This window comes from Homo sapiens, chromosome 1, assembly GCF_000001405.40.
Source record: "Homo sapiens chromosome 1, GRCh38.p14 Primary Assembly".
NCBI classification, from domain to species: Eukaryota; Metazoa; Chordata; class Mammalia; order Primates; family Hominidae; genus Homo; species Homo sapiens.
In genome coordinates this window covers 51,053,255-51,078,088 of record NC_000001.11, presented here as the reverse complement: position 1 = coordinate 51,078,088, position 24,834 = coordinate 51,053,255, and the positions used below count along the sequence as shown (strand labels likewise).

General features: G+C 40.4%; 2 non-coding genes across 2 annotated transcripts, besides 2 other annotated features; both read right to left on the bottom strand.

Moving 5' to 3' along the window:
• Positions 5,414–5,914: an enhancer, noted in NCBI's record as "H3K4me1 hESC enhancer chr1:51537847-51538347 (GRCh37/hg19 assembly coordinates)". NCBI's record gives its function as "activates a minimal SCP1, AML or CMV promoter by ChIP-STARR-seq in primed H9 embryonic stem cells {active_cell/tissue: H9 hESC(primed)}" and the evidence as "EXISTENCE:reporter gene assay evidence [ECO:0000049][PMID:30033119]".
• Positions 5,915–6,415: an enhancer, noted in NCBI's record as "H3K4me1 hESC enhancer chr1:51537346-51537846 (GRCh37/hg19 assembly coordinates)". NCBI's record gives its function as "activates a minimal SCP1, AML or CMV promoter by ChIP-STARR-seq in primed H9 embryonic stem cells {active_cell/tissue: H9 hESC(primed)}" and the evidence as "EXISTENCE:reporter gene assay evidence [ECO:0000049][PMID:30033119]".
• On the bottom strand, positions 17,986–18,071 carry MIR6500 (microRNA 6500). The gene has a single exon (NR_106754.1). It is a non-coding gene; the product is annotated as a microRNA 6500 (primary transcript).
• A 112-nt stretch (positions 18,072–18,183) lies between these two features.
• MIR4421 (microRNA 4421) lies at positions 18,184–18,252 on the bottom strand. The gene has a single exon (NR_039617.1). It is a non-coding gene; the product is annotated as a microRNA 4421 (primary transcript).
• Positions 18,253–24,834: the final 6,582 nt, after the last annotated feature.

The following is a 24,834-nucleotide window of genomic DNA, read 5'->3' as shown; positions in this document are numbered from 1 at the left end:
AGAAATAATAATAATAAAAAAACTTACCTAAGCATGGTAGTGTGCGCCTGGTAGTCCTAGCTACTCGGGAGGCTGAGGCAGAATTGCTTGAGCCCAGGAGTTTGATGCTGCAGTGAGGTATGATCACACCACTGCACCCCAGCCTAGGTTACAGAGTCTCTAAAAAAAAAAAAAAAAAGTACACACACACACACACGCAGGGTAAGTAGGATGAAGTCTAATCTAACACATATTAGACTTCATCCTACTTACCCTGAAAAAATAATCCATTTAATCATACTTACATGGTTAAAGAGGAAATTGTTAGTACCCTTGTGGTGGGAACTACATTAATGTTGTGAAAGAGAAATAATTATAAATATTCCACAATTAATTTCAAGTGTTTTCAACAAAGAAATAATCTGTTGCTAGAAAGAGGACTTGTTAAAACCTCACTATGCGATTCCCTTTCACTCTGCTTACATAAACTGTTATTTCAAGGAGCCCCTGTTAAGTACAATACGTCACACATATAACTGATAGAAGTTTTGAGAAGAGGGGAAAAGTACTTGGATCCTTAATTTCTTGTTCAAGATATGTTTAAAAGTCACAGGTGTCCATATTCCTTTTGACAGTTCTTTTATGTTAGAAATAGGGAAATAATGTCTTCAGAAGCTTTTCTCTAGTAACCTAGGATATATTTCAATGCAATGACATTAGCCTAAATAATGAAAATTGAAGAACCGGTTAACCGTCAAAAGTATAATCTATGAAATTCTTGGACAACTATACAGCCTATAGACTGCTTTTTCAAATCTCAGAAATAACATTTAAAAATACTAATAATGTGTACTCATACAGAGGAAAAGCATTGTGATCTCAAGTTTACCTACAGTTATTGTGACAGTTTGATCATCTATGGTGCACGTCTTTCTTTTATTTAAAGTACTTGAAGCAGCAGGCTTATGAAAGTTCAATTTTAATGATGAGTAATCCATCTCACTAAGGAATATATAAAATTAACTATTAGTTTTCCTATTTGTCTTGTTTATCTGGCATAAGACTTCCTGGCCTTCAAGTTTTAAATCCATGAGAAGAAAATTATACTTTACATTTGTGAAAAATGTTCCTGTGTTTTCCCCTGATGCTACTATTCTGTAGTTAAAATATACACACACATATATATGTATTTATTTATTTACAATAAGACAATTTTTTTGGTTTTAAATACATTTGAAGTTGTTAGGAGACTGTCATGAATTTTTAAATAAATGTAATGGTTCTTTTTTGTGTTTTTCCCTGATGCTACTATTCTGCAGTTTAAAAATATATATATACGTATATTTACAATAAGACAGTTTTTTAAGTTTTTAATAATATATTCAACTTGTTAAGAGACTGCCATGAATTTCTAAATAAATCTAATAGCTTTTTGATACATTTGCATTATTTGAATGTGATTTAATAACTCAAATGTGACATTGACTAATACTTTGAATATTCTTGTTGTATTACAATCAAATCTATATTTTCTGTAACTTGACTCTTTTGAATTTTGGTTGTTTTTTGTCAACAGAAGTTAGGAAGACTAGGGACTTTGACTTCCTTTTTTGGGTGAATTTTGGTTGGTAAATGATATTTCTGTAAACACTTGCCAAGTGTCTCTACCATTTATTAAACCATGTAAAGACCATAAACCTCCATGACATGCTTTAAATAAAACATTGCGGGACTTTTGTCCCTATATTTTCCTATTTAACACATAGAATAGTTTTGAAGGCAGTTGTTTAAACAGGTCATATGATTTTCATGTTCTGAAACTCTAATTATCTTTGAGTTAAGAAATGTTAACAATCTACTAGAGACATAATATCTATTTTTTGTTTTTAGTTTGAAGTGATTGTTTTTGTCATTCCGAAGAGAGTTAGTTAAATTTAATACTAAGATGCTTACTAAACCTTTTTTTATTTCCAGGAGCATTTCTCAATGCATTTACCAACCATGTGTCAGATCGTACTGTTAATATTTATTAAAGTATGTTGGATTAGGTATTCTTTTCAACTGTTTTCTCTTTTTTTTGGTTAATTTAAAATTTTCTTTTAATACATAATTTGATATCTCTATGTTTCTTCAAGTTTATAATTCCCAGCAATATCACTTTTTCTGTTAAGGTAGAATTAAGTGTTTTTTTCTTGTTGATTTTTTATAGATATTTTTATCTTGCTGACATTTTCTTCTGTTTGCTTTATAAAATGATTTTTAAATGTTTCCAAATAAAAGGTTTTTTTGCCAGTTCTTACCTTTATTTTGTGTTCAAACTCTTAGTTTGAATATCCATAAAATCATTTTCCTCCCATAAATTAAATTCTTTGAAGTATAGCCTGCTCTGAATTTTAAAATGGTAGCTGTCCAAAATAAGTAGTTTAGTTTAGCACTCACATTGATTCTCTTTTATTTGATCTGAAAAGCATAATAAAATACAACCATAATATAACAAAACAGGTGTTTTAAGTCACGTTATTTAATACTAAATCATTAATATTTGTGATTATAATTATTTTGTAAAACTCTAAGAAATGATTTAAAAAATAACATTGGAAAAAATCTGCTGAATAATACAGTAATAAAATTGACTATGAAATGAAGCTGCCTTATGAAAATTTGATTCTATTAGCTTAATTTGGGAAAGTAATCAAAACCATATCATCTATTAAATGAAAGTGACGATAGTATTTACCTTACTATGGATTGTGAGGATTAAGTAAGACAATGCACACAAAGTGCTCAGTATAGTACCCAGTACTCTAAAAACTTAATAAATGCTAACTATGATCACTCTCCCCCTATTTTCCATGCTGTCCTCCACCCTCCCCCACCTCAGTCCCAAACTGCTTTGCCTCTGAAATTTCAACTTTTATATTCCATTCTTTGATGATAATACGCTTCTCTCTGATCATTATTTCAGTTTTTACTACCTTAATTCCACTATAATTTTAGTGCATTGAGATTCCCATACACTTGACTTTTCCCTTCCCACACCCCCAATTTATAACCACTCTTTGGCTTTACTTCCAGCCCTACCTCTTTCCCTACGCAGCACAAAACCCCATGGTCCACAAATTTAATAGCAGTCCCTTGGGTTTTGTTAATCCTAATGGTGTATCTATCAGTCATCGGATCTGAAGCCAGAAAAACCCTGGGTTCAAATTATGGTTCTATTATTTACCAGCTGTGACAACTGAGCAAGATGTTTAGCCTCTCTTGGTATATGTACAATGATGATTGTTAGAGTTAAATGCAATAATGTATACAGAGCATTTACCACAGGGGCTGGCATATATTAGACCTTCAAGCTAATGTTCTTTTTTAAACTACACAAACAACTGATGATTACACATTCTTAGTAAAACATTCACACAACACAAAAATACACGCAGTTAAAAGGTAAGTATTCCTTCATCTTGATCTCCCCTCTCGAAACTACACACACACACACACACACACACACACACACTCACACTTCTCTCTCCACAGATAACCACTGTTAACAGTCTGATCTGTATTCTTCTGGACTAAATTCTACTTATTCATTGACCCTATGCTTAGGTACCATCTCTTAGGTACCATCTCCTCCTGAAGTTTTCTCTGATTCTCATAGACAGGATCAGTTAACTCCTCCTATTTGCTTCTTACCTTTGTCAGAGTACCATAATGTATTTATGTTTAATTTTTGCTTTATATTGAGCCTGAATTGTGAATACCCTGAGAGTGAGGGCTTTTTTTTTTTTTCTTTTGAGACAGGGTTTCACCATGTTTCCCAGCCTGGTCTCCTGATCTCAAACAATCTGCCTGCCTTATCCCAAAGTGCTGGGATTACAGGCAGGAAACACTATGACTGGCTGTGACTGGCAGGGGACTTTCTTTTTAATCTTTGTATTCCTTGGTTTGTTGAAGTGTTTCATACATTTTTGTTGAAGGATAAATTACACTGTCTTCATTCTCTTCATGGTCTAGTGAGGATGCATAAATAATTCTAGGGGGAAAAAGCAGGGTGTTAAGGAATCAGGTTAGAAACATATTCCAGGTAAAGTAATAGTTAAGAATCCTAACGGGTGTGAATAGAAGTAGACTGCAGAAAACAGGAATGTGTGCCACAAATAGAGTGGCACCACAATCAAATATTAATGTATGCCAAAAAATTTAAAAAGAAGTGCCTATTATATACACATTATATTAACACATTTAAATAATTTTTTAGTATTTTTATGGGCCAGAGACTTAACATCATTCTATGAGATGGGTAATTATTATCTCCAGTTTACACAGAAACAAAGTGAATGAATACGGACATAATCAATACCCTGCCCACATCCTCTTGCCCACCATTAAGGCCACCTGCAGCTTCAATGGGAGTTCCCATGCATCTCATGCCAATGGCTTCAAATCTCAACTACTTATCTTTCTGGCAGCAAGAGCATGCTGCTCAAGGGAAGGCTGCCAAGGGAAGTACCAGAGAATTACATTCCCAGGAGTAACCCTCAACCACTGAGAGAAGGGAATTGGTATATCTCAGTTTTCTTGCCCCTCAGTGGAATAATTCTGAGTTCTGTTTTATATAGTCTTTCAGAGGGTCTCCAGTAGAATTGAGTTCCAGTTGCCCTCAGTAGAAACCTTATTTTTTGACACAATTTTTATTGGCTTTCCTCTCTTACCAGTCTCACTTCCTTACCATGCTTCCCAAATAAAGTTCTCTGTATCCTAATTCTTGTCTTAGGGCCATAGTTGTGCAGGAGCCCAATTTAAGACAAATAAATTGCTTAAAGAGATACACAGCGAATAAATAGCTTAGATTCATGTGTCCACACAGCCTACACTCCATTATATTTATACTACCTTTTAACTTGTTTTGAACATTCTTTTTCCAATTCATTAGGCATGTTACATTGGCTGGCAATTATATTCATATGTTGCATAAACTCAGAGGGTGGGACTATAGAAATTCAAAAGTGAAATACTAACTTTGAACACACATCACTTTTGACAGTGAATAAGATGGATCCCATTTTGAAAAACATTTGATGGATTATACTAACAGAAAATATATTCAGGCTGAATTGGTTGCTTTTATCATGTTCTGTGCTTATGTTTCATATGTTAAGTTTCAGCAAATCTTAATTTTGGAATAAGTTAGCCTTGATATTACTTTTTACCCCTAGTACATTTCATTACCATTACCCTGCAAAAATGAGGTCATCCCTAAAGGACAGGCTCCTGACTTCTACCTTAATTAGCATGTGGTGGGAAATAAGTTTCTTTCCAGAAAGTGTTCAGATATAAGGAAGTGGGGAATGAGGATTATGTCATTATTCCAAAGACCATTTTGGAAGGGTGAGAATAAGGCAACTTTTCTTAGTTTTAGACTTAACACTTTCTCCTTTTAAAAAGATTTGAGCCTTTCCCTTACAATCAGTACAAGGGATCCTTTATTGCAAGCCGCAGGCGTCAACTAGAGCACAGACTCTTCAAGTGACTCTAGATCAGAGAGAGGAATGCCATTGACTCCAAATCCCCAAAGCCCAGTGGATGCCAAGGAATGGGAGCAAGAGAAAACGAGTGAAAATTGGTGCCATGTTGCTAACTCAGACCTGCAAATAGGAGACTCCACGTAGGCCACCAACCCCCATAGGAGCAAAAAGAGCGGGGGCCATTTTTCCCCCTAGTACGTTCGAAGCTTGCTAGGTGGCAGTAATGGAGAGTGAGGACTGAGGACGAGTGAGGAGTGGGAAGACCAACCAGGCCAACTCATGAGCCTAGAGGTGACGGGCGTGCCCAGAGCTTTCGCAACTGGGCGGTGCCTCTGCTACTGGCTGGAAGCCAGAGCCTCGCGCCCGAAGCCAGGCCAGGCCTGGAAGCCAGAGTCTCTGGAAAGCCGGGACTTGAAGGCAGGAAGCCTGGGGCTCGGGGGTCAGAAGCTGTCGCCTCTTTTGGAATGGTTAGCTGAAGTTGGCGCCAGGCTTTAGTTGGATGTAACTTGACGGAAGGGGACCAAGCCCTCCACTGTGCTCCCAGCGGTCTCCTTCAAGTCAATTGCCACAGTCCCAGATCCAGACTCAGGTTTTTTTGAGGTAACCTGTTTCCGCAGCTCGCCAAACCCGGTGGTGTGTCAAGTCTTCGTCTTGGAGAATTTCGCCTTTGCCCTTCCTTCTAGGCAGTGGCTACAGTGAAGAGCTTTAGGCTGAGTTTCCCCAGGACACACTGTAGTTGAGTCACTTACTATTAGCATTTAATTCAGCAGCATGTAGTAGATTTATATGTGCATCCAAGTCGTGAAACAAAGGTCAGTTTGACTTTGCATATTAACTTTGGCATAGTAATTTAATTTTTTTCAACCAACATGTGGTACTAAGAGTCTTTGTGCCAAATCCCAAGGAAATGAAACATAGTTCTTGGTCTCAGGGAGCACCCAAATTAGGTAAGAATGCTCAATTCAAGCACAGGAATACTTCTTCATAGGTGTTAAATTCAATGAGCATTTATTAAGCATCCATGAGTATTAAGCTCTGTGCTAGTTATTGGACATAGGAAGTTGAATCATTCTTCGTCCTAGTGCTCTGAGCTCACAGTCTTGGTGGGGGAAAGGGAAAGAGCAGAAAACGATTACCTTTAAAGGTACAAGACAAACACTGATAAATGCCACTACCCAGATTTAAACAATTGAAAGTACGGGAGACAGAGAACTGAGTTATATGTGTAGAGGGAATTGGAAAGGCTTTGTAGAGGAGGTAACATGAGTGAGCTGGCCGTGGAAGGAGAGGTTATGTTTATAAGTAGAGTTCTGGCTTAAGTACTTTCTAACAGACCTTACTTGAGGGCTTTGCTCCATTTTTATCTTTTATTTTCTCTGGCTGTCTAGTCTACTTTGCCATCCACCAACCCAGCCCTTTATCTGTTTTCTTGGAACTAGCCTAGGCTAAGTTATCACATTTACAAAGGATAATTACCTTTTATTTAAAAAACTTATTTCTGCAGGGACAGTATTTGTGAAGAAAGAATTTTCATTTTTTAGAATTTGTTTTAGCCAAGTCAACAAAGCAAGGTTCCTGTAGCCCATCTGTTAGAACACAAAAATAGCCTCACTGTGTAGAAACAGATGTTTAAAATGGTATTCATTAAAATGGATTCCACCTGTAATAGAAAACAGACAGTGTATGCAAAAGGAATGTTGTAAGCTGGCAGTACTCGCTATCACTTTCCATTCTGTTAGGAATGTATATTTCTGGGTAAAATCTTCCTAATAGGAATATGCTTCTGGTTTTAGTGTCTAGTGATAGGGTTATTAGTCATATTGAAACACAATTACCCTAGACTCCTTAGGAGGATAAAAGTCATGGGAAAAAATACCTCTAGAGTGAGTGTCTTCTTACCAATGAACAAAGTTATCTTTGATAGAAAAGTCATGACTACCCTATATTAGTGACAGAAATTAACATTTACCAATTACCTTCTGTGTCAGGTGCTTTGTTGTTCACTTTTAGAAGAATCCCATAATGGAGATATTATCCTTATTCTACAGGTGAGGAATTTGAGAATGTGCAATAAATTAAATAACTTGCCCAAAGTCACAGCTAGATTAGAATCCAAGACTCACATTCCTAAGCCAAAGTGCTCTTTCCACTATTTTGTTGCCAAATGCCAGGAGTTTGGCCTAGGTCTTATTGCTCTCCATATAGAAAGCCAATCACTGAGAAAAGGAATATTGCCCAGGAAGGAAAGCTTTATTGCAGATGACATCAACCTAATAATTAAATCTGTCTCTCCTTAACTGGCTAAAATTATGGGCTTATATAACAGGGAAGGAAAACAGGAGGGACAAGGAAGAGGAGTTGGTCAACAAGGAGCAGGTGCCTCTCATTGTTCAGGTGTGGTGATCTGGAAAGCCTCAGCTCCCTGCTACCATCTGGGAGGCCTGATGGTGGTTTCCTGAGAAAGAAACTCAGATAAGACAAATGTAAATTTCTCAAGCTTAGTTTTATGGGAAAATTGGGCTGGTTTTAATTTCACATTGATTTTGCAACAGTGGAGGCACAAAGAGTCACCTACACTTTCAAGTGGAGTATTTGGGATGCAAATCCAGGTCTATCTGATTCCAAAGCTCAAACCTGTGTCCCTCTTCTATATATTTTTGGTCTTTGCCTCTAGTTCATTTAGCCCCATTTATGTCATAGAGGAAAAGCAGACACCATCTAGTGGAACAGACAGAGTTCTAAATTATAATTAGCAAGCCCAGGCTAGCATTTATAACTGTAAGCAGCTCAGAAAAACATTATGCAAACTGGTGAAAATACATGAGCCATTTTTAACGGATATCAAGGGGAGATTACTTCTTATTACTTCTTAAATCGTAGTCTTTCATTCATTGATCCAACAAATAATTGTTGATTTCTTACTTTGTGTGAGGCATAGGAGTAATCAGACAAAAGTTCCTTCTTCATGGAGTTTGCATCCTGATTGGTGATGCAGGCAATAAGATAAATATAAATAATTTATTTATTTTTCCTTGCAAAAAAAGATAAATATAAATCAGAAAAATATCTTGCACATTAGTTGGTAAGTGTTGAATAGAAAAATAATAGGGGCTGGGTGCGGTGGCTTACACCTGTAATCCCAGCACTTTGGGAGGCTGAGGCTGGCGGATAATGAGGTCGGGAGATCGAGACCATCCTGGCCAATATGGTGAAACCCCGTCTCTACTAAAAATACAAAAATTAGCTGGGTGTGGTGGCGTGTGCCTGTAGTCCCAGCTACTTGGGAGGCTGAGGCAGGAGAATCACTTGAACCCGGGAGGCAGAGTTTGCAGTGGGCTGAGATCATGCCACAGCACTCTAGCCTAGCGACACAGCGAGACTCCATCTAAAAAAAAAAAAAAAGAAACAAAGAGAAAGAAAGTAGGGACCAGGCATGGGGGCTCATGCCTGTAATCCCAGCACTTTGGGAGGCCGAGGTGGGTGGATCACTTGAGGTCAGGAGTTTGAAACCAGCCTGGCCAACATGGAGAAACCCTGTCTTTACTAAAAATACAAAAAATTAGCCAGGCATTACGCGCCTGTAATCTCAGCTACTCGGAAGGCTGAGGCAGGAGAATCGCTTGAACCCAGGAGGCGGAGGTTGCAATGAGGTGAGATTGTGCCACCGCACTCCAGCCTGGGCAACAGAGTGAAATTCCATCTCAAAAGAAAAAAAAGAAAGAAAGAAAAAGAAAAAAAGAAAGAAAAGAAAGTAGGGAATGGGGGTAGGCAGGCTATGGTGGGGACTGTTGCAATCTTCCCTGTGGCCAGGGAGGACAGTGTCTAAGGAGCCAAGCAGAGATTTGTAGGAAATGTATTCCAATGGATGAAATATCAAGCGCAGACTTGACATAGGTGTGGCAGGAACCGAATATGGGAGGCATAGATATTAAGGTAAGGTTGGAATGATAATGAAAGGAGATTCAGATCATGAAGGGTCTTGTGGGTTGTCATAAGGACTTTGACTTTTACTCTGAGTGAGATGGAAACTATTGAAGAATACTGAAATAATGAGTGACCTCATCTGCCTTCTATTTTAACACGATCAGTTTGGCTGCTGTGTTGGGAATACAACGGTGGAAGAAGCATAGACACCAATTAGGAGGGTATTGCAGTGAGTAATCCAAGTGAAGGATCCCCAACAAGACCTTGGAGAAAGGGATAAAGCTGAGGTCAGGGTAATTATTCCCCTGGATTTCTTCTTACAAGATCACCTGGTTGTATCTCTTGACAAAAGGCTATTCCTCTCAAGATAGCTAAATTTACAAAATTATTCCTTTTCAAATTATAACCTCCCTTTCCTTGTCTCTTTGGGCCTAGGGGTGGTGGCATCTTGGCTACTACAGGTATTGAGCTTGGCATGATTGAACTATCCCTAGAGGCTTGCCTACACCTGTATCTTGTAGGTAGCTCCCATAATTCCCACATGTTGTGGGAGGGACCCCGGTGGGAGATGACTGAATTTTGGGGGTGGGTCTTTCCTGCACTGCTCTTGTGATAGTGAATGAGTCTCACTAGATCTGATGGTTTTAAAAATGGGAATTTTCCTGCACAAGCTCTCTTTGCCTGCTGCCATCCACATGAGACGGGACTTGCCTCTCCTTGCCTTCCACCATGATTGTGAGGCTCCCCCAGCCACGTGGGACTGTAAGTCCAATTAAACCTCTTTATTTTGTAAATTGATCAGTCTTGGGTATGTCTTTATCAGCAGTATGAAAACTGACTAATACAGTAAATTGGTACCGAGAGAGGGGTATGGCTGAAAAGATACCTGAAAATGTGGAAGCGACTTTGGAACTGGGTAACTGGCAGAGATTGGAACAGTTTGGAGGGCTCAGAAGAAGACAGGAAAATGTGGGAAAGTTTGGAGCTTTTTGAATGGCTTTGCCCCAAATGCGGATAGTGATATGGACAATAAGGTCCAGGCTGAGGTGGTCTCAGATAGAGATGAGGAACTTGTTGGGAACTGGAGCAAAGGTGACTCTTGTTATGTTTTAGCAAAGAGACTGGTGGCATTTTGCCCATGTCCTAGAGACTTGTGGAACTTTGAACTTGAGAGAGATGATTTAGGTATCTGGTGGAAGAAATTTCTAAGCAGCAAAGCATTCAAAAGGTGACTTGGGTGCTGTTAAAAACATTCAGTTTTAAAAGGGAAACAGCATAAATGTCTGAAAAATTTGCAGCCTGACACTGTCATAGAAAAGAAAATCCCATTTTCTGAGGAGAAATTTAAGCCAGCTACAGAAATTTGCATAAGTAGTGAGGAGACAAATGTTAATCCCCAAAACAATGGGGAAAATGTATGCAGGGCATGTCAGAGGTCTTCATGGCAGCCCCTCCCATGGTAGGCCTGGGCGCTTAGAAGGAAAAAGTGGTTTCGTGGACCAGGCCCAGGGTCCCCGAGCTGTGTGCACCCTAGGGACTTGGTGCCCTGTGTCCCAGCCACTCCAGCTATGGCTGAAAGTGGCCAATGTAGGGCTTGGGTTGTGGCTTCAAATGGTGCAAGTCCCAAGCCTTGGCAGCTTCCACATGGTGTTGAGCCTGCAGGTACACAGAAGTCAAGAATTGAAGTTTGGCAACCTCCACCTAGATTTCAGCAGCTGTATGGAAACGCCTGGATGCCCAGGCAGAAGTTTGCTGCAGGGGTGGGGCTCTCATGGAGATCTTCTGCTAGGGCAGTGTGATAGGAAGCTGTGGGGTCAGAGCCCCCACACAAAGTCCCTACTGGGGTACTGCCTAGTGGAGCTGTGAGAAGAGGGCCACCATCCTCTAGACCCCAGAATGGTAGATCCACTGATTGCTTGCACCATGTGCCTGGAAAAGCTGCAGACACTCAATGCCAGCCCATGAAAGCTGGGCTGGGTGAGGCTGTACCCTGCAAAGCCACAGGGGCGGAGCTGCCCAAAACCATGGGAACCCACCTCTTGCATCAGCTTGACCTGGATGTGAGACTTGGAGTCAAAGGAGATCATTTTAGAGCCTTAAGATTTGACTGCCCCGCTGGATTTCAGACTTGCATGGGCCCTGTAGCCCCTTTGTTTTGTCCAATTTCTCCCATTTGGAATGGCTGTATTTACCCAATGCCTCTACTCCCATTGTATCTAGGAAGTAACTACCTTGCTTTTGATTTTGCAGGCTCATAGGCAGAAGAAACTTGCCTTGTCTCACATGAGACTTTGGACTGTGGACTTTTGAATTAATGCTGAAATGAGTTGAGACTTTGGGGGACTGTTGGAAAGGCATGATTGGTTTTGAAATGTGAAGATATGAGATTTGGGAGGGGCCAGGGGCAGAAGGATATGGTTTGGCTCTGTGTCCCCACCCAAATTTCATTTTGTAGCTCCCATAATTCCCATGCGTGTGGGAGGGACCCAGTGGGGTATGATTGAATTATGGGGGTGGGTCTTTCCTGCGCTGTTCTTTTGATGATGAATGAGTCTCACTAGACCTGATAGTTTTAAAAGTGGGAATTTCCCTCCACAAGCTCTGTTTGCCTGCTGCCATCCACATAAGACAGGACTTGATCCTCCTTGCTTTCCACCACGATTGTGAGGCTTCCCCAGCCATGTGGAACTGTAAGTCCAATTAAACCTCTTTATTTTGTAAATTGACCAGTCTCAGGTATGTCTTTATCAGCAGCATGAAAACAGATTAATACACTAGGATTAAATCAAAAGGACACAGACCCAAACTTGAAGTGGTTCCCACTCCAGATATGAGATAAATTTAGCCTCAATAAGGATCATAATCACAATAGAGTGAAACTCATCAAATCCATGAGTTCATAATGATAGAAAAATTGCTCACAATTAGAAAATAATAGGAAACAAATGTGTTACCTTGAAAACCAATAAAGGGAAAGATCAAAAATTTATCCTGCCTTTCCCAAGCTGGGCACAGTGGCTCATGAATGTAGTCCCAGCACTTTGGGAGGCCAAGGCAGCTGGATCACCTGAGGTCAGGAGTTCAAGACCAGCCTGGCCAACATGGTGAAACCACGTCACTATTAAAAATACAAAAATTAGCTGGGTGTGATGGCACGCACCTATAATCCTAGCAACTCAGGAGGCTGAGGCAGGAGAATCACTTGAACCTGGGAGGTGGAGGTTGCAGTGAGCTGAGACTATGCCACTACACTCCAGCCTGGGCGACAGAGCGAGACTCCATCACACACACACAAAAATTATCCTGCCTTTACTACATGAACTATACCATTGGATAACCAAATAATAGGTGAAGAGAAGCATCACTTTATTGAAGTATTTCAACTAACGAAATAGAAGTGTTAGCATTAGAAGGCTGGGTGCAGTGGCTCACGCCTGTAATCTCAGCACTTTGGGAGGCCAAGGTGAGTGGATCAGTTGAGATCAGGAGTTCGAGATCAGCCTGACCAACCTGGTGAAACCCTGTCTCTACTAAAAATACAAAAACATTAGCTGGATGTGGTGGCACAGGCCTGTAGTCTCAGCTACTCGGGAGGCTGAGGCAGGAGAACTGCTTGAACCTGGGAGGCAGAGGTTGCAATGAACCAAGATCACACCACTGCATCTCAGCCTGGGTGACAGAGTGAGACTCTGTCTCAAAAAAAAGAAAAAAAGAAAGAAAAAGAAATGTTAGAATTAGGATACCACCACTTTGAAAGTCCCAGTAAATTAATGGCTATAAGTATTCAACAGCAATAATTGTTCACATCACAACCAGACATGATGTGCCTCTTAATGAAAGACCACAGCACTATATTGTTTGGCCAAAGTGAATGACCCTGAGTCTGCTCAAACCTCTGGGTTTAGCTGTCAACTTGCAAGAAATAGAGGATTCAGAGAAACACAATGAATTGCATGCTCCTCTGACATAGTTTTAAGGGTGTCATTTTCTAATAATTCATTAAGCTACACATTTATATGTTACTCTTTATCTGTGTTTTATTTTACAGTAAAAAACAATAAACAAAATTTCCCACCATGCTTGGTAGGATTGCCTTTTCCTCCTTGGAAAGTCTCTCAGTTTTTGTTCTATGTGTGTGTGTGTATGTGTGTGTGTGTGTGTGTCTCTGTGTCCATGTATCTAACTATATACAGTTGACCCTTGAACACTATGGGGATTAGGGACACTGACCCCATGCAGTTGAAATCCACATATAACTTTTTTTTTTAAGAGACGGGGTCTTGCTCTGTCGCTGAGGAAACTGGAGTGCAGTGCATGATCACGGCTCACTGCAGCCTTGACCTCCCAGGCTCAAGTGATCCTCCTACGTCAGCCTCCCGAGTAGCTGGGATCACAGACGTATACCACCACACCTGGCTAATTTTTGTATTTTTTGTACAGATAGGGTCCAGCCATGTTGCCCAGGCTGGTCTTGAACTTCTGGACTCAAGCAATCTGCCCACCCCAGCCTCCCAAAGTGCTGGGATAATAGGCATGAGCCACTGTGCCTGGCCACATATAAGTTTTGACACTCTAAAAACTTAACCAGTAGTAGCTTTTGACCTGATTTGACACTCTAAAAACCACTAATAGCTTTTGACCTGAACCCTTATCGATGACATAGTCAATTAACACATATTTTGTGTTACATGTATTATATACTGTATAGTAATTAAGCAAGCTAGAGAAAAGAAAATGTTATTAAGAAAATAATAAGGAAGATAAAAAGTATTCACTATTCATTAGGTGGAAGTGTATCGTTAGAAAGGTCTCTATCCTACTCACATTGGGTATGCTAAAGAGGTGGGGTTGGTCTTGTTGCAGGGATGGCAGAGGTGGAAGAAGATCTGTGTATAAGTGGATCTGCACAGCTCAAACCCATGTTGTTCAAGGCTTACATGCACACACACACACACACACATATATATACACACATGTATGTATGTATGTATGAATATTAGGCTGCTTATGGTGGTAATAACATTTGGGACAAACAAGAATGTGACTGAAGAACTTGAAATCTGGGGAATGAGATGTCCATATGGAGGCTTTGAAAAGCTTTGACATTTACCTGGAAATTCTGAAGGCTACTCACATACATAGGACTGTGGACATGCCTGAGCTATGGGCATGGTCAGAAAAGACTTGAGAAGGCCCTAAGCTCTTACCTCTGACTGACCTTGAGTCTGCACAAGGAGGAATTTACAGCTAAAGCAGAGATGTGAACTACCTGCCTGAGTGTTAAAGGTTTGCCACAATGTGCCCACAGGAACTCTTAGCAAAGCCTGGGAGACTTATGGAGACTTATTTGTTCTAGACATTTGAGGAAATTTCTGCAATTCTTAGCTGATGACTAAGCAAACTGAGCAGATACTTCAGTGACCACACTTGAAAAAGGATAGAGACTTTATAGAATTAGTCCAGGAAAGTTACTAAGAAACAGCAACAACAACAAACAAAACAAATAAACAACCAGCAATATTAATAAACCCTGGGATGGGAGAGAGTCTGATTTCCATAGTTGTTACATTATATTATGTAAAATGACTATTTTCAACAGGAAATTATGAGACTCAAAGTAGGGCCCATATATTGGGAAAAAAAAAGCAGTTAATAGAAACTGTCCCTCAGAAAGCCTTGATGCTAAACTTACAAGGCCAAGTTGTTAAATCAGCGATATTAAATGTTTGAAGAACTAAAGGAAACTATGTATAAAGAACCAAAGGAAAGTATGAAAATGATATAAAACTTAAGAGAGAATATCAATAAAGAGATAGACATTTAAATAATTTCTTTTTAAATAAAACAACCAAATAGAAATTCTAGAGTCAAAAAGTACTGAAACAAAAAAATTCACTAGAGGGTTTCAAGAGCATATTTGAAAAAGAATCAGTGAACCTGAAGATAAACCAATTGAGAAAATCTGGTCTGAGAAAGAGAAAGAAAAAAAGATTAACAAAGATGAAGAGAACCTTGCAGATCTATAGGATACCATCAAGCATGCCAATCTATGCATAATGGTAGTCTCGGAAGAGAGAAAAAGGAGCAAAAAATATGCTTGACAAAATAATGGCCAAAAACTGCCAGCGTTTGATGAAAAACATTAATCTATACATCAAAGAAACTCAACAGACTCCAAGTATAGTTGACCCTTGAACAACATGGGTTTGAGCTGTTCAGGTCCACTTATATGGAACTTTTACTCACCTCTGCCATCCCTGAGATGGCAAGACCAACCCCTCTTTTTCCTTCTCCTCTTTAGCCTACTCAATGTGAAAACAGAGGGGATGAATTCCTTTCTGATTACCCACTTAATGAATAGTAAATATATTTTCCTTATTATTTTCTTTTCTCTGGCTGGCTTAATGGTAAAAATACAGTATATGATACTTATAACATTAAAAAAAGTGTTAATCAGCTGTTTATGTTGTCAGTAACATTCTGGCCAATAGTAGACTATTGGTAGTTAAGTTTTTGGGAAGTCAAAAGTTGTATGTGGATTTTTTTTCTACCCTCTTCTCACAGGTATGTATATGTGGATGTTTGACTAGTGGGGTCGGCACCCCAACCCCTCATGTTGTTCAAGGTTATACTGTAGTATAAATGCAAAGAGATGCACACCTATACACAACATAACCAACTGGAAAACCAAGGGCACAGAGAGTATATTGAAAGCAGAAAGACAGAAGCAGCTCATCATCTCTGAGGTATTCTTGATAAGATTAACAGCCAAATTCTTTCCAGTAACTTTATGAATATAAACTATTGTTATGAATATAGACTATCAGAATGATTCCAGCTCCATATAAAAATATTTATGGACCATGACAAAGTGGAATTTATTCCATGAATACAGGCTCAGCATACATTATCATATATCATATTAATAGAATAATGGACAAAAGCCAAACAGTCATGTCATAGATATGAAAAAGCACTTGAGAAAATTCAACACACTTTAATGATTAAAAAAACAAACAAGAAACCTGGAATAGAAGGAAACTTCCTCAGCCTGATAAAGGGCATCTATGAAAACACACTGCTAATGTCACTTTGTGGTGAAAGGCTTGAAAAAATTATCCCATCTTAGTCTGTGTTACTATTAATATAAAGGCATACCTGAGGCTGGGTAATTCATGAAGAAAAGAGGTTCATTTGTCTCACGGTTCTGCAGGCTGCACAAGAATCATGGCATTGGCATCTGCTTCTAGTGAAGGCTCCAGGCTGATTCCACTTATGGCAGAAAGTGAAGAGGAGCTGGTATATGCATATCATATGGTGAGAGAGGAAGCAAGAGAGAGACTAGAGGAGGTACCAGGCTTTTTTCAACAACCAGTTCTTGTGGGAACTAAAAGTAAGAACTCACTCTCGTGAGAATGGTACAGAGCTATTCATGAAGGATCCACCCCCACAACCCAAACACTCCTACCAGGCCCCATCTTTAACACTGGGGATCAGATTTCAACATGAGACTTGGCAGGGCCAAACAAATCATATTCAAACCATAGTACCACCTAAGATCAGGAATAAGACAAGGACGTTCACTCTTACCATTTATATTCAGTGTTGTACCAAGGGCTGCATACCCATCAGTCAGAATCCTTGTGTCATGGCATCCTCCAGGTGTCACTTTTCCAGTTGGAAACCTCTGTGGCCAGTGGTGCCTTTGCCAGAGTTTTGCTCAAGCCTGCTGGGCTTGTTCCACCCACTCGGCCTGGCAGGCTGCACTCAGCTCATGCTACTGGCCTGGCTCCCACACCTTCAAAGAATGATCCAGGCATGGAGAGGAGAGGGGTGCACAAGTAAGCAAGCATGGGGTCTGGCTGCTGCACACAGCCAAGCATTGGCTGCTGTGGTGGGGTGGGCAGTTCCAGGTGCCACCACAGGTGCTGGCTCTGTTCAAGCCTGTGGCTGGATCAGATGCACTATAAGTGGCTTCTGCTCTGGGCACTCACATCTGGACAAGGGGAACATGGTGGCACTTGGAAGCTCCAAGACACTAGAAACCACAGAGCCCCAAAGAGGGTGTCACAGCCCTGGCTGGGGGAGCCTGTGCATCTGAGCTCCCTGAAGGGCTGCAGCTCTTCTCTCCTTCTCATTGCCTGCAGTGTGACGAGTGGGGTGGAGGCAGGTGTTTTAGCTCTGTTTGTGTTATAGCACTTTCAGTCCCACCATTCAACAGGTCCTGAATTTTTGTCCTGTGTCCAGGAAGAATGAGGTATGCAGAAAACTGGAGGGTGAGCAAGGCAGAAAGGAACTTTCTTGAGCAAAAGAGTGACAGAACAGCTCTTGGGAGACCTGGAGTTGGTAGCTCCTTTCCACAGGCAGGTCATCCCAACTAGTTCAGCCCTCAGTAGAGAGGAGCCCCAGATTGGGTAGCTCCATTTCACAGGCAGGTCATCCTGACAAGTGTCCAGCTCTCTGGGGAGAGGAGACCTGGAGTGGGTAGCTCCTTTCCATAGGCAGTTAGTCCTGACGAGTGCATCCCTCAGCAGAGAGGAGACCAGAGTGGGCAGCTCCTACCTGCAGGCAGGTCATCCCAACAAGTGTCCAGCTCTCAGAAGAAAGGACACCTGGAGTGGATAGCTCCTTTCTGCAGGCAGGTAGTCCTGACGAGTGCAGCCCTCAGCAGAGAAGAGACCCAGAGAAGGTAGCTCCTAGCTGCAGGCAGGTTGTCCAGATGAGTGTCCAGCTCTCAGGGGAGAGGAAACCCAGAGTAGGTAGCTCCTTTCCACAGACAGGTTGTCCCAACAAGTGTTCAACTCTCAGCAGAAAGGAGACCCAGAGTGAGTAGCTCTTTTCCACAGGCAGGTCATACTGACAAGTAGAGGAGACCTGAAGTGGGTAGCTCCTTCCTGCAGCTGGTAGTCCTGACATCTGTATGAGTCTAGCTAGGTAACATAGTTTTTATGGGCTCAGAAAGGAAGAAGTGTGTTCTGATTGGCCCATGGGTGGCCATGGGCGGGCCTGGAAAAAGCACCATAAGTTCTCACTCCAGGCCGCAGACTCCACCTGGAGCTGACAGCCCAGCCCCCAGGCTTCATGCCATCCATGGCTTGAAGGTTGCGTTTCACTGGGAACCTGCCCCTTTCTGCCCAGGAGCCTGTCTGCCTCCTGTCACCATCAACATGTTGTCCATGCCGCCCAGGCTGTTCATGCTGAGGTTTGCCTACAGGCCCACACTGAGCCACCCTGAGCAACCCCTTGGTCTCCCTCTTGTGCTCTTCAGTTCCCAAAGTCTGGATGGCCTGAGACAGCAGGGGGCTGGCATGTCAGCACTGCCCTGAGTGCTTGGGTACCCAGCTGGGTCACAACAGTGCCTGGGCTCTGCCACAACTTTGCTCTGCCCCAGAGTGGGGGCCAGGAGCAGGGAGAGGCCAGGCAGTGGGAGCAGGCACTTTCAAGCCTACGGGAACAAAGGGCTTCCGGGGCCCCTGAGACCTCAGGGATGCCTGGGTCTGTGGCTACAGCTGAGAAGCTGCAGCTGTGCCTGGGAGCATGTGGCTCCTGCTCCACTGACTTGTTAGGGGGTGGGGCTCCCACCTGTTCCCGGCACCCGTGGGCTCAGCAGAGTGTGCAGCCCCAGTTGTGCTTCCCCTGCTGAAGCCGGCATCTTCACAGTGGCTACTCCAGACAGGCCACTGCTGCCATCACTTGCACCAACCTGTAGGTGACAGTCTTCCTCCATGAAGCCAGTTCATATGCTCTAGAAGTTACTCCTCCATGAAATATGCAAAGAAACAGCCCAAGGCTACAAGAAATACGCACACACGAAATCAAAGAAACAGGACACCACCAAAGGAACACAATAATTTTCCAATAACCAACCCCAAAGAAATGGATATCTATAAATTGCCTTCCAAACAATTAGAAATAATTGTTTTTAAAGAAGTTCAGCATGCAATAGGAGAACACAGTTGGACAACTCAGTGAAAACAGAAAAAGAGTCTACGGCCATACCACCTCGAACATGTCTGATTTCATCTGAAAACAGAGAAAGAATACATGAACAATACAAGAAGTTCAACAGGAAGGTAGAACTTATAAAAAAGAACCAGGCTGGGAGTGGTGGCTCACACCTGTAATCCTAGCACTTTGGGAGGCCAAGGTAGGCGGATTGCCTGAGCTCAGGAGTTTGAGACCAGCCTGGGCAACACAGTGAAACCCCATATCTACTAAAATACAAAAAATTAGCTGGGCATGGTGGTGTGCACCTGTAATCCCAGCTACTCAGGAGACTGAGACAGGAGAATCACTTGAACCTGGGAGGCAGAGGTTGCAGTGAGCTGAGGTCATGCCACTGCACTCCAGCCTGGGTGACAGAATGAGACTCCAACTCAAAAAAAGAAAAAAAAAAAAAAAAGAAAAAGAAAGAAATTCTGGAACCAAAAAACCTAATGACTGATATTAAAAACACAATAGAGAACTTCAAAAATAGACTTTATTGAGCAGAAGAAAGAATTTGTGCCCTTGAAGACAGGTTATTTGAAATTATCCAGTCAGAGGAGAAAAAAGAATGAAAAAGAGTGAAGAAAATTTATAGGACTTATGGGACACCATCAAGCAAACCAATATGTGCATAATGAGAGTACTAGAAGAAGAAAAGCAAGAGAAAGAGGTAAAAAGCTTTTTTAAAGAAATAATGGGTTAGGTGCAGTGGCTCATGCCTGTAATCCCAGCACTTTGGGAGGTCGAGGCAGGTGGATCACCTGAGGTCAGGAGTTAAAGACCAGCTTGGCCAACATGGTGAAACCTTGTCTCTACTTAAACTACAAAAATTAGCCAGGTGTGGTGGCAGGTGCCTGTAATTCCAGCTACTCGGGAGGCTGAGGCAGGAGAATGACTTGAACTTGGGAGGCAGACGTTGCAATGAACTGAGATTGTGCCACTGTACTCCAGCCTGGGTGACAGAGCAAGACTACTTCTCAAAAAATTATAATAATAATAATGATAATAAAATAAAATAAAGAAGTAATGGCTGAAAACTTCTCAAATTTTGAGAGGGAAATGGATATCCAGATTCATGAAGCTTACAGGTTTTCAAAGAGGATCAATTCAAGACTATACCAAGGTACATTTTAATCAAATTGTCTAAAATAAAGGACACTGAAAGAATTTTAAAGCTGCAAGAGAAAAGTAATGCATCACATATAGGGAATCACCATAAGACTATCAGTGGCTTTCTCATCAGAAACCTTGCATGCCGAAGAGAATGGGATGATATATTGAAAGAACTGGAAAAAAAAAACTACTTACCGTGAATCTACATCTGGCAAGATTATCCTTTAAAAATGAAGGGGAGATGAATTCTTCCTTAGACAAACAAAAACAAAGGGAGTCTGTCACTACTAGCCCAGCCGTAAAAGAAATGTTTAAAAGAGTTATTTCTTCAAATTGAAATGAAAACACACTAAATAGTATAATGAAAACATATAAAAGCATAAATATTATGAGTAAAGGAAAATATATGGACAAATATAGTTAATATAAAACTATAATGGTGGGGCCTAACTTACTTTTAACCCTAATATAAAAATTAAAAGATAAAAATTTGTCAAAGGATACACAATATAAAAGGCAACAAACTGACTACAAGAACACAAAGTGTAGGGGTGGGGAGTAAAAATGTAAAACGGTTTTTGGTTTTGGTTTTTTTTAGAGACAAGGTCTTACTACATTGCACAGGCTGGTCTCAAACACCTCACTTCAAGCAATCCTCCTGTCTCAGCCTCCCAAAGCACTGGGATTACAGGTGTGAGCCACCATGCCTGGCCAAAAGTATAAAGGTTTTGGATGTGATTGAAATAGTTATAAACTTAAAAATAGATGGTTAGAAATACAAGATATTTTTCATAAGCCTCAAGTTAACCACAAAGAATAAAATCTGTAACAGATACAGAAAACATAAAGAGATGAGAATCAAAGCAATCACTATAAAACATCAAATAACAAACGAATATAATAAGAGAGGAAGAGAGGGGCAATATAACTGCAAAAGACACAAACCAGTTAACAGAATGGCAATAGTAGTCCTCAGCTATCACTAATTACTTTAAATGTAAATGGATTAAACTCACCAATTAAAAGGCATAGAGTGGCTGTGTAATTTGAAAGAACAGGATCCAATGGTATGTTGTTTATAAGAGACTGATTTTAGAGTTAAAGACACATATAGACTAAAAGTGAAGAGATGAGAAAAGATTTCTCACGCAAATGGTAACCAAGGATACGCAGGGTAACTATACTTATGTTAGACAAAACAGATTTTAGTTTAAAGCTGCCTGCAGAGACAAAGTCTTGATATAATTATAAAAAGATCATTTCAACATGATTATGTAACAATTATAAATATGTATATACTGAACAAAGAGCATCTAAATATATAAAGCAAATGTTGACAGATCTGAAGGCAGAATTTGACAGTAACATGATAATAGTAGAGGATTTCAATACTCCACTTATAATAATGTACAGAATATCAAAAAAGAAACAGAAAACACTATAAAACAAATGATCCTAACAGATATATAAAGAAATTTGCACCCAACAACAGAAGATTATCCACTTTTCTCAAGCATACATGGAACATTCTCCAGGATAGATCATATGTTAGATTACAAAACAAGTGACCTAATTTAAGAAGATTGGAATTATTCCAAGTATCTTTCTGGACCACAAGGGATGAAAGTAGAAATCAATAATCTTAAGAAAATAGGAAAAATCACAAACACATAGAAACTCAACAACAAACTCTTGAACAACTCTTGGGTCAAAGAGGAAATCAACGGGTAATTTTAAGAGTATCTTGAGGCTAGAAATGATGGCTCACATCTATAATCCCACTGCTTTGGGAGGCCAAGATGGGAAAATTGCTTGAGACCAAGAGTTTGAGGCTAGCCTGGGCAAAGAAAAAAAAAAAAAAAAAAAAAAAGAAAGAAAGAAAAGAAAGAGAGAAAGAAAGGGAAAAAAAAGAGAAAAACAGTAGAACATACCAAAATTTATAGGGTGCAGCAAAAGCAGTACTAAAAGGGAAGTATATAGTGATAAATGCCTACATTAAAAGAAGAAAGAAGGCCGGGCACAGTGGCTCATGCCTGTAATCCCAGCACTTTGGGAGGCCGAGGTGGGAGGATCACTTGAGGTCAGGAGTTTGAGACCAGCCTGGCCAACATGGCAAAATCTCATCTCTACTAAAAATACAAAAAATTAGCCAAGCATGGTGGTGCGTGCCTGTAATCCCAGCTACGTGGGAGGCTGAGGCAGGAGATCACTTGAACCTGGGAGGTAGAGGTTGCAGTGAGCCAAGATCATGCCACTGCACTCCAGCCTGGGTGACAGAGCATGACTCAGTCTCAAAAAGAAAGAAATAGAAAGAAAAAGAAAGAAAGAAAGAAAAGAAAGAAAGAAAGAAAGGAAGGAAGGAAGGAAGAGAAAGAAAGAAGGGAGGGAGGGAGGGAGGGGAGAGAGGGAGGGAGGAAGGGAGGAAGGAGAAAGATCTCAAATAAGATATTACACCTCAAAGAACTAGAAAAAGAGCAAACTAAGCCCCAAATTAGTGGAATAAAGGAATTAATAAAGATCAAAGAAGAAATAGAGAATATATTTATTTATTTGTTTATTTTTTTGAGACAGAGTCTCACTGTGTCACACAGGCTGGAGTGCAGTGGCATGATCCCGGGTTCAAGTGATTCTCGTGCCTGAGCCTCCTGAGTAGTTGGGATTACAGGTGCCCACCAGCATGCCCGGCTAATTTTTGTATTCTTAGTAAGAGACGGGGTTTCACCATGTTGGTCAGGCTGGTCTCGAACTCCTGACCTCAGGAATTGATTCCTGCTGGGATTACAGGCATGAGCCACTAGGCCTGGCCTCAAATAGAGAATTTTATAAGCAAGAGAAAAGATTCCATAAGACTAAGAGTTGGTTTTTTGAAAACAAAAAATCAACAAAAAATCTCAGTCTTTGCTAGACTGAGAAAAAAGAAAAAAAACTCAAATAAACCAGAAATAAGAGAGGACGCATTGCAAAGAGTGCCTCAGAAATAAAAAGAATCGGCTGAGCATAGTGGCTTACGCCTATAATCCCAGCACTTTGGGAGGCCAGGGAGGGTGGATCACTTGAGGTCAGGAGTTCGAGACCAGCCTGGCCAACATGGTGAAACCCCATCTCTACTAAAAATACACAAATTAGCCGAGTGTGATGGCACATGCCTGTAATCCCAGCTACTTGGGAGGCTGAGGCATGAGAATTGCTTGAACCCAGGAGGTGGAGGCTGCAGTGAGCTGAGATCATGCCACTGCATTCCAACCTTGGTGATGGAGTGGGACTGTCTCAAAAAAAAAAAAAAAAAAAGAATCATAAGGGACTATTATGAACAATTTAATTATATGCCAATAAACTATAACTTAGAAGATTAGAACCATATACCCTGAATTAAGAAAATATAGAAAGCCTGAAGAAACCAATAACAAGTAAGAACATTGAATCAATAATCAAAGCCTTCCAGCAAAGAAAAGCCCAGAATCAGATGGCCTCCTGGGTGAATTGTATGAAACATTTGTAAAATAATTAATACCCTTTCTCCTTAAACTCTTCCCAAAAAGATAAGGAATACTTCCAAATTCATTCTATGAGGCCAGCATCATCCTGACACCAAAACCAGACAAAAACACTATACAAAAGAAAAAGAAAGAAAGAAAACTAAAGAGCAATAGTCCCAATGAATATACATGCAAAAGTCCTCAATGAAATGCTAGCAAACTGAATTCAGTTGCTCATTAAAGGGATCATATACTATGACCAACTTGAGTTTATCCTTGGGAGTTAAGGATGGTTCACTATATGCAAATCAACCAATGAGATACAGCACATTAACAAAATGAAAGAAAAAACCACATGATCTTCTCAATAGATGCAGAAAAAAACATTTGACAAAATTTGCCATCCATTCATGATTAAAGCTACAACAAAATAAATATAGCAGGAACTTACCTCAAAACAACAAAGATCATATATGAAAAGCCCAAACCTAACACCACAATCAAACCTTGGGGGACAGGTCGAAAGCTTCCCCCAAGATCCAATACAAGGCAAGGATGTTCATGCTTGACACTTCTGTTCAACATATTACTGGAAGTTCTTGCCAGAATAATTAGACCAAAATAACATCCAAATTGTAAAAGAATAAGTAAAATTATCTCTGTTTGCAGATGACACAATCAAATATGTACAGAACCCTAAAGGAAAAAAATCTGTTGGAACTAACTAACCAATTTAGTAAAGTTACAGGATAACCAACATACTAAAACACACAAACAGCAAAACTACCTGAAAAGGAAATTTAAAAAACAATCCCATTTACAATAGCTAC